At 35.4% G+C, this 17,477-nt stretch overlaps 1 protein-coding gene across 5 annotated transcripts in view; it reads right to left on the bottom strand.

The window, feature by feature from the left end:
* MAN2A1 (mannosidase alpha class 2A member 1) overlaps positions 1-17,477 on the bottom strand; it is a 179,699-nt gene that overhangs the window by 37,358 nt on the left and 124,864 nt on the right. For 3 of the 5 annotated variants that reach the window (NM_002372.4, XM_017009472.2, XM_024446048.2), the window contains 4 exons: positions 14,830-14,995; positions 12,381-12,599; positions 11,926-12,048; positions 8,431-8,545 (listed from right to left, as the gene is read on the bottom strand). In NM_002372.4, the coding sequence (NP_002363.2) occupies positions 8,431-8,545; positions 11,926-12,048; positions 12,381-12,599; positions 14,830-14,995 (623 nt within the window). Of the gene's footprint in view, positions 1-1,287; positions 1,435-8,430; positions 8,546-11,925; positions 12,049-12,380; positions 12,600-14,829; positions 14,996-17,477 lie in introns of those variants that run through there. The other 2 variants (XM_011543395.4, XR_007058604.1) reach the window with 2 other exon arrangements.

Raw genomic sequence — 17,477 nt, 5'->3', positions numbered from 1 at the left:
CTGACCTTCCCTCCACTATTGTCCTATGACCCTGCCAAATCCCCCTCTCCGAGAAACACCCAAGAATGATCAATAAATACTAAAAAAAAAAAAAAAAAAAAAAAAAGAAAACTCCTTCCATTACCAGCTACTTATTTATGTGAACAACTTTCCTTTGCACTGATATTTATATAAATAAAAATTAAGAATAAAATCATATATCATTCTAGCAATGAGTGACATTCATCAATGGATACATTATCCATTAGGAATTAAAAAGGTACAACCCACTGAGAAAAATGTTTTCATTAAAATTTATAAAATAAAATTATTAAAATAGGAACATATTTATGTTTTTTGACCAACTGCATACAAATAATAATTTTTATATCTCAATCCAGAAGAAATAAAATACTTAGAGCCTTATAACAGACTTTTAAAACTGTATACATAAATACACACACACACACACACACACACACATGATTTTTGTTTTAGAGAAGTAATGAAAGACTGACCAATAACAAGGCTCTGAACCACAAAAATACTACATTAAGATAACATTCTGTGGAGAAATAGAATGTAATTATAAGGAGAAAATAATGATGTGAAGTTTCCGACAGTTAAAGAAAAAGCTAGTGCAGGCTTTTAAAAAACACATGATTTAGTACCACTGCCCATTGGATATGCTTATTTTTAAAAGTCACCATGTACAATACACCAAAATAACATCCTTTGCAATTATTTAAATGTATAAAGAAAAACTTCAAGTCAATTAAAAAATATATAAGGGACAAAGAGTTCTTCAAATCCTTATAGTGGGGTTCTAAACAACCTTATTTCACACATTGTGATATTCTTTTCCTCCTTTCTGCCTTTCATGTGACATTCTCTAAGACCTAGCCTCTCAGTGACTCACTTCCTTCATTAAATCCTCCCCAATTCCCCCAATCCTTAATGACCATGCTTTGTCTTATAATAGTAAACTATCTAACCCATCTGGCTCACTCACTCTTGTAAGTAGATACAACACTCACTATGGGTAAGGTTCCTTGTATATTTACTCGGTGAATACTCCAAACATCCTCTGAAGCTGATTTTACTACTGTCAACATTTCAGGATGATAAAACCAAAGCCAGGTTGGCAGTAACCTGTGCAAGGTCAAACAGCTGCTAAGTGGCAGACCTAGGATGGGCCTGGGAATAAAACACAAGAGAACTGGCTCTGGAGTCTCAACTCTGAGCCATTACATATCTCCTGTGTTTCCCCCATCCCTGTGCCCTTCACCTGAGTTCAGTGCAACCCACCTTTGTAGGGGATGATGCTTCTTTGCTAAGGAGTTATGGCTTCAACAATCAGCTGCTCTCAAACAGCCCCAAAGATAACCTCTGAGTTCTGAATCTGTGTAACCAGAATGTGCTTGCAGTCCCTTAAAATAACCTTCTCTTTCATGCCTGTAGGGAATGATCAGATTCGTCACATAGCTACTTATTTCAATTTTTAAAAGTTCCAATTAACAGGGAAAAAAATCCTTAGCAGTCAATTGCATATTATGATATTCCAAAAATGTTTTAATTACCTAAGCCTGCCTAGCTATAACTTACTTAATGCTTTTTACTTTTAAATCAAACTAAATATGGAATATAGCTATGGAAAAAAATGAGAGATTGATTGCAAACCATCTTAATGTCTTCATGAATCTTTTTATGAAAATAAAAAGAACTTCAGTGAAGCTCTGAGACCTTGTTTACAAGTGGGGCAGACTCCAGGGATGGAAGCCCCAGATTCAGGCATTCTTAGAAGATGAATTTAATCACTTCTTGGCCTTTTGGCTAAGACCAAGTGTAGAAGATGAATTTAGAAGCAGGGAGTCAGGCACAAGAGATTTTATGTGAAACTAAGTTGTATGAAGACTCTTTGACAGTTATACCTAATTGAACATCTACCTTTTTTATAGATTAAGAAACTGAGTCCCTAAGAAATTAAAGGACAAACCCATACTCCTCTAGTTTGCTTAGAGGCAAAACTAAGGATTTGGATCTCCAAATCCCAATGTGATTCCCTTATAAGAGGGGTCTTCAAAAGTTTCATGGAAAATGCATATCATGAAAAAACTATGCATGGATTTCATCAAAATAAACTCATACTTACTTATTGTAACATGTCTGAACAGGATCTAGTTTGAGCACTAAGAAGGGTGAGACTTGGATTTGATAAGAGCCCCTATCAGAGCAATATAAATTATGCTAAAATTTAAACAAGAACAAACATCAAATTTATGGTGAAGCTTAGGTGGAAGTATGGTGAAATCACTGATGCTTTATGAAAAGTTTATGGAGACAATGGTCCAAGAAAATCAGCACTTTACAAAACAGATAAATTGTTTTAAGAAGGGATGGGACAATGTAGAAGACGAAGACTACACCAATTTTCAAGAAAAAAATTAAGTTTGCTCCTGCTCTAACTGAAGAGAACTAACAATTAGCAGCTTATACAATTCTGACTGAAAAATTAAAGTTGAGGAAACTTTCCACTCAATGGGTGCCAAAACCATTGCGTCCAGATCAGCTGCAGACAAGAGCAGGGCTTTCAATGGAAATTTTAAATAAGTGGGATCAAGATCCTGAAACATTTCTTTGAAGAATTGTAACAGGAGATGGAATACAGCTTTACCAGTATGATTCTGAAGACAAAGTACAATCAAAACAATGGCTACCAAGAGGTGGAAATGGTCCAATCAAAGCAAAAGAAGACTGGCCAAGAGTAAAAGTCATGGCAACAGCTTTTTGGGATGCTCAAGGCATTTGGTGTGTTGACTTTCTGGAGGCCCAAAGAACAGTAATATCTGCTTGTTATGAGAATGTTTTGAGAACATTAGCCAAAGCCTTAGCAGAAAAACACCCAGGAAAGTTTCATCAGAGTTCTTCTCCACCATAATGCTCCTGCTCATTCCTCTCATTAAACAAGGGCAATTTTGTGACAGTTTGAATGGAAAATCATTAGGCAGTCACTTACAGTGCTAATTTGGCTCCTCCTGACTTCTTTTTGTTTCCTAATCTTAAAAAAATATTTAATGGGCACTCATTTTACTTAATAATATAAGTAGACTGAAATGACATGGTTAAATTTCCAGGACCCTCTGTTCCTTAGGGATGGACTGAGTAGCTGGATTCATTGCTTACAAAAGCGTCATGAACTTGATGAAGCTTATGTTGAGAAATAGTTTATATTTTTAATTTTTATCTTTTAATTCCATTTGTCCACAAACTTTTTGAAGTCCCCTAATATGTTTAACTAGATGAAGCTCATTTTGATTCTCTAAAAGCCAAGAGTCAGGTTATAAATCCACTTATGTTTATATATTCAAAATTGCTCAGAGAAAAACTAAGCAACTCTGTTCGATTGCTAAATATGCAAGAAAATCAGTCATTTCAGTCAAAGGAAAGTCTTTCCTTCCATACTTTTTGATGTCAGTTCATTACATTTTACCTCCAGGCTGCTTGTTTTCTTTGAGTAAGATCCATTACATATAATACTTTATAATATGTTGGTGGAAAACAGGGCAGAAGTATTGCATTTAAGATGTTTCCCCTAAGGGTTAAAACATGGTTTACACACACATACATACTAACTCGCTAACAAACACCTGCCTAGGAGAACACAGTCCTTGCGCCAATGAAATGTACACGACATACTCGTTACCCACAGTGACCTAATTCTTCAAAGTAGCTGTTGATATCAGAAACTAGGACACTAAAGTCCAATAATTACAGCTCTGAAGACAAATAAGGCCACAGTTAACAATGTCACTTATTGGTATTATATTATTGCAAGGTATGTACTTTCCTTGTAGGTGCAGTATTAAATAAAACACAAGAGGATACAGGAGCTTCTGTTTGTATTATATTCTATCTTCTAATTACAGATTAACCAAAAAAGCTAAAGTAGCAGCCTATATGGTAATGTTTAAAGCTTCAATTAAATGAAAGATGATTATACTGCAAGAAAAATTAATTCCCACCTCCCTCAACTTTTCCCCCAGAAGAGTGTTATTTTCTACAAATGAAATAAATTGCATTTCATTAAATTATGGGTGCTATAAAATGGATTTATTAAACCTGACATGGGCAAAACAATATATTTCATTAGAAATTTTTTTTCTTTTTTTCTTTTTTTTTTTTTTGAGACAGAGTCTCGCTCTGTTGCCCAGGTTGGAGTACAGTGGCGCTATTTCGGCTCATTGCAACCTCCGCCTCCTGCGTTGAAGCGATTCTCCTGCCTCAGTCTCCCGAATAGCTGGGATTACAGGCACGTGCCACCAAACCCAGCTAACTTTTTGTATTTTTAGTAGAGACGGGGTTTCTTTCACCTTGTTAGCCAGGATGGTCTTGATCTCCTGACCTTGTGATCCGCCTGCCTTGGCCTCCCAAAGTGCTGGAATTACAGGTGTGAGCCACCGTGCCACGCCTTCATTAGAAATTCTGAACTGCTCTGATCTTGTAGAGCTTTTAAGGCTAGTGAGCACAAGATTTCTTCTAATTTAGTATTTTTAGAAACCTTTTGAATGCGATGTCTGAACGATAATGAAAAGGAAAACAGAGTGTTCTTTTATTAGTTTAAAAGATGTTAAGAAAGAGAGAGCCCTTCAACTGCACTTCTGATCATTTTCAGAATCTGGAGAGAATGCAGATAGAGAAACAAAAGTTAAATACCAAACCAAAAACAAAAGTAGGTTGAACTATACGGCCTCTCAACTCTGTTTCAAAATCATTAAGGACCAAAAAGTTTATATAATTTTGGAAATGTTGCTTGTCGTTCTTGATTTTGTTTTCTCCTGAAGCTTAATTTGGGCAATAGTTACTTTGGGGAGAAAAGGGTCAAAGAACAACTAAAGTAGAGACTGAGAAATGTAAGAATATTTTGTCAGGTATGCGTTAGTTTAGTTTTTAAATTGGATTTGTAAGGTTTAACAAAAATAGACACCCAACAAAGACAATCTTTAATACTAACTCATTTTCTGTTTCTTTATTCCTTGTTGCTGAGATTACAAAATCTTTTGTATAATTAACTGGTTTAGTAACCTAATACAATTACAGTATGTAATCATAAAACATTAATAGTCTCTCTCCCCAAACCCTCATTTCTTCCTGGATTGAAAATCTGGTACTAACAACAAATAGGCTCTATTCATTAATACTCATGCAAATAACTGCATCTGGTTGGTTTAAGGGGGACAAAAGTAGCATATATCCAAAACTAGTTTAGTAAATTAAATTCAAGAATAAATATTTTTTGTTATTTTATGCAATACTAGCTAAAAGCCAATCTACAACAGCATGGAAGTTGGCTGACGTTTCCTTTGCATCTAAAATGAAAAGCCACATTTTGTCTATGCATTTTGATCAATCATCCAGGTGTCTGATTTACAGGAGGCCAAAGTTTAGAATGTTAAACAACTTTCCAGTATTTCTTAATAAGGAAGACTTGGCACTAAATAACAGATCCCTGAAGACTGATCACCCTTTCAGGCAGCGTGAACGCTGATAGAGCCAAATACCCTGAAGACTTCGTATATCTATCATGGGCCTTGATTAGTGATTTCATTAAAACCACAATCAGCCAGGATTGAGACAACCCGAGTGTTCAGGCAATGGTATGTGAAAAACAGGAGAGACAGGTGAGTCATGAAGATTACTAAGGAAAGACTCTCTCCACAACCGGGCTTATCTTTTCCCAGAGGGAGATTTGTTAAGAGGAGCTCAAATACAAACACGGGAAGGTATATAGTTTGGAAGAAAGCATTTCAGGTGATTCTGGTATCTCTATTTCCTACCAACTGCTTTCATGTTGAAAAAAAAAATGATCCGGACTAGAATGAAAAAAGATTTACAGGTTACGTCCAGTTTATATATGACGGCTTCTCATTTAATCCAGGCAACTACTGTAAAACTCATCAGTGAGGCGCTCTAAGTTTGCATTACACTTATTTATCCATCATTTATTATTTTTTTCATATGCCCGAGAACACCAAGGAAGAGAAGACAAATAATCTAGAAAGGAAACACATGAAAAAAGAAAATCAAGCCAGGTGCAGTGGCTCATGCCTATAATACCAGCACTTTGGGAAGACAAGGCGGGTGGATTACCTGAGGTCAAGAGTTCGAGACCAGCCTGACCAACATGGCGAAACCCCATCCCTACTAAAAATAGAAAAATTAGCCAGGCGTGGTGGTGTACACCTGTAGTCCCAGCTACCTAGGAAGCTGAGGCAGGAGAATCCTTGAACCAGTGGGGCAGAGGCTGCAGTGAGCCGAGATCGCTCCACTGCACTCCAGCCTGGGCGATAGAGCGAGACTCTGTCAAAAAAAAAAAAAAAAAAAAAAAAAAGGAAGGAAAGAAAGAAAGAAAACTAAAGAATAAAAAAGAGAAAAGAGGCAGAGGCAAGACCAGCAAATAGAAATGGGCTACATTGAGAGCCCCTTTGGAAGGCCAGGAGCCAGTCAAACCTCAGTGGCCCGGGCTCCTGCTTAACACTATTAGCCACTGGACAGTTCACTGCCCAGAGGGAAACAGGAAGAGAGGGGGAAAGGAAAAATGACAAGCATTTAGTTCTGATGAGTGTAGTTTGCTCAAATAAGTAAATAGGCAAGTCAGAGCCTATTAATTTCCAAGTCAAGCACTAAGCTACAGCCACTAGCAGCAGAACAGGGCCATCTAGTCTACACAAACTGCCCTATGATGTGAGAACTAGAGGTCCTGGATAATCCAAGGAAAACCCAGAAGATACAGTGACATAATTAAATAAAAGCAAAAGCAATTATGCAAATATACCTGATTGAGAAGTTGGAATTTTAGGAAGAGTTGCTACAGCATTTCCTCTGAGACATAGCCCATCTCTAAATATAACTGATGAAAAACAATGGTAAATCAAACCTGATGACACAAGTTTGTGCCAAAGTGTGTGCCATGTTGTACTCCAGGAAAAACTTTTCCACTAAAAAACAATAGTTTAAAGCAAACTTAAAAATAGATCAGCATATCTTCTGTGGGGTAATGCTATAAAGTTGAAGATGTAACTTAGAGCTCTCAGGGGTATTAAATAATGGCTTACACAAGAGTACAAACAGATGATCAAAAACAGTTTCTGACTTACCAGAAGTTTTGAGAAACTCAATAGAAGATTATTTCAGAACTACAGGTTTTCCTGTAGGTAGCAAAGTGATCACAGATAACTTCAGAAGTCACATTTAGGACACAAAATTAGTGTCTAGCATTATTTTTCCCACCTGCCAGAGAACTTTTACTTCTTGATTCATCCTATGAATCATGGGTTATTCTGAAAAACCTATCATATTATTACCTAAAGAAGTTGCATGAGAAAGTTTGTCCATACCTGAAATTCTAACAAAAAGCAAATACTAATGAAATTTGAAGTTAATAAAAAAGTTAAATAAAAGCAAAATTAAATTTAACTATGAAATCAGAAAATTGAACTTCTGTGATTTAAGAGATTCCCTGAACATAGTATCCCTTTGCTTTCCCACAATACCTAAAAAGGAAACCGTGCCTACCTATACATTTATCTTTAGTTTGTGAAATCCTTTATTTTTTACCTGTATGAAGATTCAGGGAAATAGTATTTTTTCTTTTCTAATTTGTTCAACTTAGCTAACAGCAAAGATAAATTTAAATGGCATTTTTATGAGGTCTTTTTCTAAGAGTGTTGATAATATGGTAAATACCCTGGTTATTAGGATTAAATCTGTAGTTGGAAAAGCACACCATTCTACAAACAATGAATTCTAAATCAACCAACCTAAATGTGCAAGTCTTTGGAAACCACAGCTCCACTCAGACCCCATGGAATCAGTTCCATTGCCCAGGGTTAAGTTCTCAAAAGGATCAAAAGCCTATTTCCTATCACTTGGGTTCATAAAGATGCTGCTCAATACTGTTCTAAAAATGATAAACAATTGCTAGGTTTTATACTCTACTGGGTAAAGAGCTGTAAACAAATAGAACCAGCTTAGAACATTTTTCTCTTAAAGTTACATTCCAGTGATACAGGCTATATTTAAGGAAGCAGGCCCCATATATGTGTGTGGTCTATTAACTGAAAGTCGTATTTAATATAATTTCCATTTCATAAAATCAAAACACTGTATTGTTTTCAGGTGTTAAAAATAAAGTTACCAGTTAATGAGCTCAAGACCAATATGGCAACAATTAAGAGAAGATATACAGAGGAACATGTATATGTAGGGATTGAAACGTTTTACCATTTTTTATTATCAAAGGGTAAGTTTCATATTTTAAATCATATTAAAAATGTCAAGTTTAGAAAAACATCATCTACAAAAACCAACTGTTAATTTAAGAATGGCATAAGAAAAGCAAGAATTCAAAAACCATAATACATATGTTTCATAACTGCATTCCTATTTTCTTACCCTGTATGTGGTATAGTCGGACTCTATGAGTAACATGGTCAAAAAAGCAAGTCACTTCCGAATAAATCCTTCCATGTGTCACTCTGACAAAGGGCGGTGTTGTGTAAACATAAGGCTGAAAAGAAAATAATATATTTAAGAAAAATATTTTGGCTTCCAAACTTTTAAAAGAATATGTTTATTATGGTTTCAAAAATAGAAAATACGTATCACCTGATATTTGCAATTTTAAGTGTAAACCAGATCTTACAAGGTAACAAAATATGCATGTGATAAAAACTGAACGTGTTTTTTATTTTTAAAAATGCTGAAAATAGGAAATAAAAATGTTTACAACTTCACTGGTCTAGAAAGCATTCCTCCCAGCTATACAAATTTCTAACTAAAATCCTTCTATTTGTCCATATAGTTACTTATTAGAAACAGCAATCATTCTACAGAAGTTACATTTTCCCAGGTAAATAATTATTATAACCATGGTCCCAGCCCCCTAATGTTCAGGGTTTGGGACAGGTGGCAAGGATGACTACAGGGAGTCATCTAAGCAAACTGAAAGCAGGATTCAGAAACATAGTTTAATCATAGCTCGGTTTACTAAACTATAAAACATTCTGTCCTTTTACTTGAAAGAACTAGCTGAATATAAATTCACAAACTTGAAAAAACTACTTGGAAACCACTAGTTTAGTTTTTATTTAAATTTTAAAAAATGGTAATAAAGCACATAACTTATGTGACATGGAAGCAAATTTAAAACATTTATGAGTAATTATATTTTTAAAGTATTAGATACCTTAGCTCAACAATAGCATAGAAAGTTAGGCTTGCAATATGAACTACTTAAACAGTGTAAGATTTTCGGCCAGGCGCCGTGGCTCACGCCTTGTAACCCTAGCACTTTGGGAGGCCGAGGTGGGCGGATCACAAGGTCAGGAGATCGAGACCATCCTGGCTAACATGGTGAAACCCCGTCTCTACTAAAAAGACAAAAAATTAGCCAGACTTGGTGGCGGGTGCCTGTAGTCCCAGCTACTCGGGAGGCTGAGGCAGGAAAATGGCGTGAACCCAGGAGGCGGAGCTTGCAGTGAGCTGAGATCGCGCCACTGCATTCCAGCCTGGGTGAAAGTGCAAGACTCCGTCTCCAAAAAAAAAAAATTTTTTTTTCAGAATTGTGTAATTTTCTTCCAAATTTACCTCTTTGGCTAGGGAAAATTTTCTGGAGTTATTAAAATGCTTAATGGTTTACAAATTTCTTGTACCTAATTACCAAATAGCTAGAAAGTGAGGGAGGGGATGAGAACCTGGGATGATGAGTTCTGGGCTCTTGCCTTTTTCTGATGCACTAGACTGCCTCTTTCCCTGATGTTTTTTATTTTCTCTCTGTAAAAATGACAATTGTTTTATCTTTCTATCTGACATTAGAGCTATTTAAAGATAAAATGGTTTTAAATAAATTAGTTATTGGTATCTACGCATGAAATTCTATAGCACAACTACTTTTTTAAGTATAAATACAGTCAATCAAAATAAAATGTCCAATGACAAAAGCTGGTGAATGAGAAAACACTGAAACAGCTCATATTTGGGACTCACTGCCCATCCTGGAATGCCTCATATGAGTTGTAGTTTGTCTTTAATTCTTCACTGACTTAAAAAAAAAAAAAAAGAAAAACCCCAAACAGCCAAAAAAAAAACCAAAAACAAAAACAAACAAAAAACCTAGAGTCCTTACTGTAGCCTACACAATCCCTTAAAATCCAGTATTGGATTTTAGTTAGCAGGTTTCATAACTTGTGGAACAAAAGTAACTTTTTCAGGAGATAGGTCCCTAGCTAACAAGACAATAATTAGGATAACATTTCACTGATCTTGAGGTATAGAAAACCTATAAAGGTATAAAAGCAAAGGAAGAAACTCTACAGAAAAAAAAGAAATGACTACACAAAAATTTAAAACCACTATAAATGAGAAATACAATAAAATAATTAACAAACTAAATGACACAATAAGAAAAATTTTACAACATATAGGGAAAAGGATTAATTTTACCACATATAGAGTGCTCAGAGATCATCAGGACACACCAACAGAAAAACAGTCAAAGAATAGAAATAGGAAAATCACAAAAGAAATATGAAAGATAAATGAAGGTACAAAAACGTTCAACCTTACTAGTAACCACAAAAATCTTAACAGAAAAATATTTTTCTACTAACTTACTATTATAGGCAAAGCTTGTAATATGGCCAATTCTCAGTGCTTGGAGTGGGATTTTAGAGTTAATCTCAAAAAATGCTGGTGGGATTGAACATTTACCTAGTCTTTCTAGAGGGAAGATAAGCAGTACACAGCAAAAGTCCTTAAAAGACTTCAGACACTGATACAAAATGACTCTTCTAGAAAGTTATTCTCAGCAATTAATCAGAATTGCATTGTAGCATTCTTTTTGAATGCTACAAAGAAAGCTTATTACAATGTTATGGTAGTGAAGAATCGGGAGAAAAAGAATATAAGCAACATCTTAAACACAACAGTATATATTAAAATTGGATTTTTAAAAAACATACCATCAGATTGTGAGCACTGTCACAAATGAAAAACAAAATATGTACATGCAATAAGTCAAGACTTGAGAACGGGGAGAAAAGGATATGCATAAAATAAAAGACAATAAGAAATACATCCAAATGTTGGCAATGGTTTTCATGGGATTGTGCACCTGTTGGTAAATTTTAATGTTTTCTTTAGTTTCTGGCATTTTCAAAATGTGCCAGAGTTTGCGTATTACTACCTTTATAGTCAAGAGTGAGAAAGATTTGTTTTTTAAAGGGCTGAAAGTTAAGGAGAAAAATGGTCCAGTGGAAAATCTATTTTTCCCATACGGCTAGAGGTTTTGTGTCTGTATAAAATGCATACATATAAAGCTCCCTAACTCTACGTAAAATCTAGTTTCTTCCCATGTTCATTGTTTATCCTAACTGAACATTGTTCATTGTAGCATCTTAACAAATTCCAACTCTAAAAAACTATTTATCTAACGGGGTCTTGCTCCGTCAACCCAGGCTGGAGTGCAGTGGCGTGATCTTGGCTCACTGCAACTGCCTTCCGGGCTCAAGCCATCCTCCCACCTCAGCCTTCCTGAGTAACTGGGACTGTAGGTGCAGGCCACCATGCCTAATTTTTGTATTTTTTGTAGAAAAGGGGTTTTGCCATGTTGCCCAGGCTGGTCTTGAACTCCTGAGCTCAAGCAATCTACCCTCCTTGGCCTCCCAAAATGCTGGGATTACAGGTGTGAGCCACTGCGCCCAACCATTTATCTAACTTTCGACTACAAATTGCTAAGTATCAATAAGGTGATAGATAATACTGCAACCAAAAGTTCATCTATCCCTAATAAATCAACAGATGATAAAATAATGACACTCACTTATCTTTTTCCTCAATACTCTTTCAATAAGTGTTTATTCCATTTGTCATCTCATCAGTACCACTTACCTTGGCATTACCATCAGGTAAGAAGAGGTAGGCACCACTTTTGTCTCTTTTAATTGTGGTTCCATACCATGAAAATTGCACATTTACTTCATGGTGTTTACCATCTTCTTTAGTCATCATTTGCTAAAGATTAAAAAAAATAATAATAAGCAACTCACCACTAAGATGTTAAGCATGTTGCATCTGGTTCTATGTATATGACAATTTAAAAAAATAATTTCTGTACTTATCTGGTGGACCAGTGACACACAGACCACGGAGTAGCGCCACCCACAGACTATACATGTGAGCAGCAAGTGGTCAATGAAGGTGCAAAAAGCTCATGCTTCCTTTTACTCAAGAGTATTTGATACAGCTCTACTTAAGACTTTTTTCCCCTTTTGCCTAATTAATCTACACACATTGTAGCAAAAATGATAAGCATTCTATGAATTTTAGAACTATTCAGAACATACCTTCATAAGTCCAGTTTGATCAAACCGAAGTAAAACAAAGGAGTTCTCTAGTGTTATACCTTCTTCAGTATTTATCATATTCTTTATGGTGAAAATTCCGCTATCTTCTACTTTATTCTTATACAAGACATAATCAGCTAAATGTGAATTTGAACTTGCTGATTCCAAAATCTTATACACTTTCAGTCCCAATGGCGGTATATGTGCTCGAAAAGAGATCTTTAAAAGATAGGGAAGGGAATTTATTAAAGATAAATGTTATCTACTGAGAGGCAAACCATTTATATTTTTGGTAAAACCAACAAACTATCATATTTTTTAAAAAGAGAATCCAGTTGGCCCTCCATATCCACAGGTTCCATGTCCACAGTTTCAACCAATTACAGATAAAAAATGTTTGAAAAAAAAACAAAAAACAAAAAATACAAATAAAAACTATAGTATAATAACTATTTACATAGCATTTACATTGTATCAGATGTTACAAGTAATTTAGAGATGATTTAAAATACACAAGAGGATGTGTGCAGGTTATATGCAAATGCAGATGCTCCTCAACTCATGATTGGGTTATGTCCAATTAGAATTTGAAAATATCGTAAGTCAAAAAGGTGTTTAATACACCTAACCTATCCAAAATCATAGCTTAGCCTAGTCTACCTTTCATGTACTCAGAACACTTAAATTAGCCCACAGTTGGGCAGAATCACCTAACACAAATCATATTTTATACTAAATATAAATAGCTTATGTAATTTATTATATACTATACTGAAAGCGAAAAATAGAATAGTTGTATGGGTACTTGAAGTACGGTTGCTACTGAATGCACATTACTTTCACGCTATTATAAAATTGAAAAATCTAGGTTGAGCCATTGTAAGTCAGGGATCATCTGTACTATGCCATTTTATATAAAGGACTTGAGCATCCATAGATTTTGTTATCCCCAGAGGGTCCTGGGACCAGTCCTCTACAGATACCAAGGCATGGCTGTGTAACAATATTCTATAAATGTTTGATATCTTATGGGTAAACCATACATGTCTCAGTTTATCCAGAGAACCTAATAACCTAAAGTTGGTAGGCCTATCAAAAGCACTAATGTTTTTATCCAATATGTGAACCTGTATGATCATTCTCAATTGTTTGGCTGTACTCTAGAATGCCTAGAGAAGGAAATTTTCCATGAATGTAAGGGCTTTACAACAATGCCATTTCCTAATTATTAATTTTTTTTGCAATATTATGATATTTCGGTTAATAAAAATGATAAACATAATATAAATATTAAACAAGTTAGCATTAGCCATCAAATGCTTGAGGTTCAGCAGACACTGAACAGAGCATGGGGGATGCACACAGTTTAAGACATGACCCCTGCTTTCCAGGAGCTGTTGCTGTTCCATTTTCTAGATGGAAAGCTTCCTGTAAAATCTGACCAAAATTTTTATTATAGTTTACCTTTCTATCTAAAAGATGATGCATATTTAAGAGTAGCTAGAAGGTGGATCACGGGGTCAGGAGTTTGAGACCAGCCCAACCAACATGGTGAAACCCCCTCTCTACTAAAAATACAAAATTAGCCAGGCGTGGTGGCACATGCCTGTAATCCCAGTTACAGGAGGCTGAGGCAGGAGAATCACTTGAACCCGGGAGACAGAGGTTGCGGTGCGCCGAGATCGCGCCATTGCACTCCAGCCTGGGCAACAAGAGCGAAATTCTGTCTCAAAAATAATAATAATAATAATAAAAGTAGCTAGCAATAGCTTCTGTCAAGCAGAAACAATTCTTAGAGTTCCTAGTTTATGGCTGTATCTCCAGAAATGCCGTTTAAATGACATTCCAGATTTTAAAAGTCTAACCTTTCTAGTGGTACAGTGATCAGTTTAATATTGCTTATTTTAAGAAACTTTGGCACAAAAAATACCTATTAACTTGAGCACAGATTTTCCACAATTATATCTCACAAAAGAAGCATCTTAATTATTTTAGGGCATTTCTCTTCCATGGTGTGTTATGTCACCTTTGCAATGAAAACCTAAAACTATCCAAAGTTACTAAGGGTGGTATTTATCTCACTTTCGATATGCATAATTATCATTAAATTCACTTAGAGCAAAACATTCAAAATTTTATGAGTAATAATTACTGCATTACCTTAGAATAAACAGTATGCATCCTTACAAAGATATACAATATACATATGAACAACATATAATAAGATACAATATATATACTAACAAAGAAATTAACATTTTAGGGAACACAGGATCATTTTTCCTTTAGTGTCATTTGACCCACCAGTTAAACTCTCTGGTATTTACAACTTTCATCACCTCACATACACCAACATGATGGCTAAATGGGGGCTACTGTACATACACAAATTATATACTGGCTAGGTTTGTTTTACAATGCCTCCTTAAGTTCTATGGCTACAACATACCTCATAGGCTGTTTCTGAAATAGTATTTGCTGTATCCCAAACTGCGCTGACTTGAACTTCCACAGGTTTTCCTGAAGCAGAGAACACTTGCACTGTCGGGGAACTCACATAGACTGAGACCAACGAGATTCGGTCTTGTTCTAAAGGATTATAGACCACAAGGTACCTGCAAAAACAGCTGCTTCATTATTGGGATCTCAAAATATTTTTACTTCTTACATATACATATACATGTAGATATACATATACATATACATATACATATATATTTTTGAGATAGCGTCTCACTCTGTCACCCAGGCTGGAGTGCAGTGGGGAGATTATAGCTCACTGCAGTCTCAACCTCCTGGGCTCAAGCAATCCTCCCACCTCAGTCTCCTGAGTAGCTGGGAGTAGCAGGTGTAGTGCATGCTACTACATCTGGCTAATTTTTTCCAAACCCTTCATAATACTTCAGTTCATGGACAGTCATAGAGTCAACTCATGGAGAAGAATTAACAGGAATATTCTGTGAGAACTTTCAGAGAACAGGCAATTTCATCACAACAAATATCACACAGTACAAAGGGTAATTAAATAATGATTCAGAAGCCCTTTCTAAAGAATTAATGCTTTACAAATGGAAGATATTCATAGATGTGTAATAAAGCTTTTCTGTACCCCAGAAAAAGACTTATATAAATACGGTTTTATTCATCTGTTTAAAAGAATGAGCTCCATACAACTAATACCCTGATTCCTACCTAATCTCACAGAATAAAAAAAATTCACAATTTGTTTGCAATTTCATCACAATGAGTTCCAGTTAAAAATCTAATATTCATTTTAGACCACTAAGAATGTATGGCTATATATGGAAAATCACATAATTCACACATATATTTTATATACAATGGGACTTTATTATTAAAGAAAGTTGATTCTAAAAAAGGTCACTTGAAGTGAATCCACTTGTAACAGGGCCCCAAATGTTTATAGTAAGTAATGGTGAAAAAAAAAATTGATTGGGATTAGGTAGAAAAAGGAAAATGCAAACTATTAAAATAAGTTTAGGCAATATTTGCAACTACGTGCAACTTTTGGTATGAACAAAAACATAAATGAACTGAAATTTGGGACACAATTTTTCCAATATTTTATACCAGCATATTATGACATCCTTCACATAACATTTAATTTTTACATGATGGTTTTATTAGTAAACTATATTTGAAAAAATATTTAAGGACTTTATTTTTCCTAAAATCCTCTCCCAGTTCTGATGTTCAAATAATTCTCAGTTGAGGTACCCAACAGCCTTGATTTTCTTACTAGCATAACTCTGCCAGACTGTCATTCTTTCATGGCTTTGCCTGTGAGCAGAGACGTTCTAGACCATCACATTGCAGACTTCATGAAATCTGCATCCTCTGCAAGGTTTATGATTTTATAATTTATAATCAATTTGCATCATATTGTCTTCAAATGAAGAGTATTTCAAAGAGGATGTTGGACTAATAATATAACTCACTGATTCACTAGTGCATATTTTCATGATCTGAAATATTTTTGTTTTCCTATACAATTTTGTAACCGCAGGAACACACTGAATAGTTGGATAACAACCACCTCTCCCCCAATACATTGTAGCTATAGATGGTAGCACCAAGCTTACCAGTATTCTTCCATCCTGTATATGTGTTCTATATATTTTTGCTTTAATTGCATTACAAAGTGTTCATTAAGAAATAAAATGAATACCTACAGGGGCCAAAACTAAAGGGAAAAAAGACAACAGGAAAAATGAAGAAAAAGAAAGAGGATATAACACAAAATCCATGACACTAGACTTATAAATTGTTCATCAGAAGCATTTATGTTAAAGCAACATTCTGAGATACCAAAGGTGATAATGACATTAAGAATGTCTCTAATTCCTATTAGGCTTACAGTATGCATCAGGATAACAGGACCTAACTTGTATTACTTATGTTCACTGAGATTCCATATGTATACAAGAGATGAACAGATGAAACCACATAGTCACAAACATATTTACAAAGAGCAACGAATCCTCCTAGTACTTAGATAAAATCCCATTTTACGCACAGAAGCAATTCTCAAGGCGAGGGAGGGTGATGCCCTCTTGAGAGGTATACTCAACAGACTTACCTCAGAGATTTGTCAATCTATTTGCAGCCTCCCACAGCCCTCCTACCAGAGATTACATTTCGCCTGACTGTTCCCCATTCACAAACACACCTGGCTAACTGCAACGGCCAGGATTCATTATTACCAATGGGACTGTCCTATATTTCTAAGGTGCAATGGGGAAGAAAAACAGTGGTGGATCACTCATTCTCTGTACCAAAGATGTTCAAAGCAGAACCCCAGAAATGAGTGATTTACTACTGAAACCCATGTTCCCAGAGGCTTACAGAGCTAGTATTTAAAGAACTTGAGAAAATGGTGCCTGAAAACTTTGGCCAATCTCCTAATTCTGTAGTAGCCCTGAGGCATACCTAGGCACACTAAGCCTAGAATCCCTACTGGCATGTTCTTTGGGTGCTCCACTACAGCCAAAGGTCATGAAGACTGTGATACTATAATGTGTGTCCAAGCAATAAATTAGATAATAAGCATCCAGAACACTAATTCCTTCTATGAAA

This window comes from Homo sapiens, chromosome 5, assembly GCF_000001405.40.
Source record: "Homo sapiens chromosome 5, GRCh38.p14 Primary Assembly".
Lineage (NCBI taxonomy): Eukaryota > Metazoa > Chordata > Mammalia > Primates > Hominidae > Homo > Homo sapiens.
The sequence above is the reverse complement of the archived record's forward strand: the minus strand, read 5'-3'. Positions and strand labels throughout refer to the sequence as shown.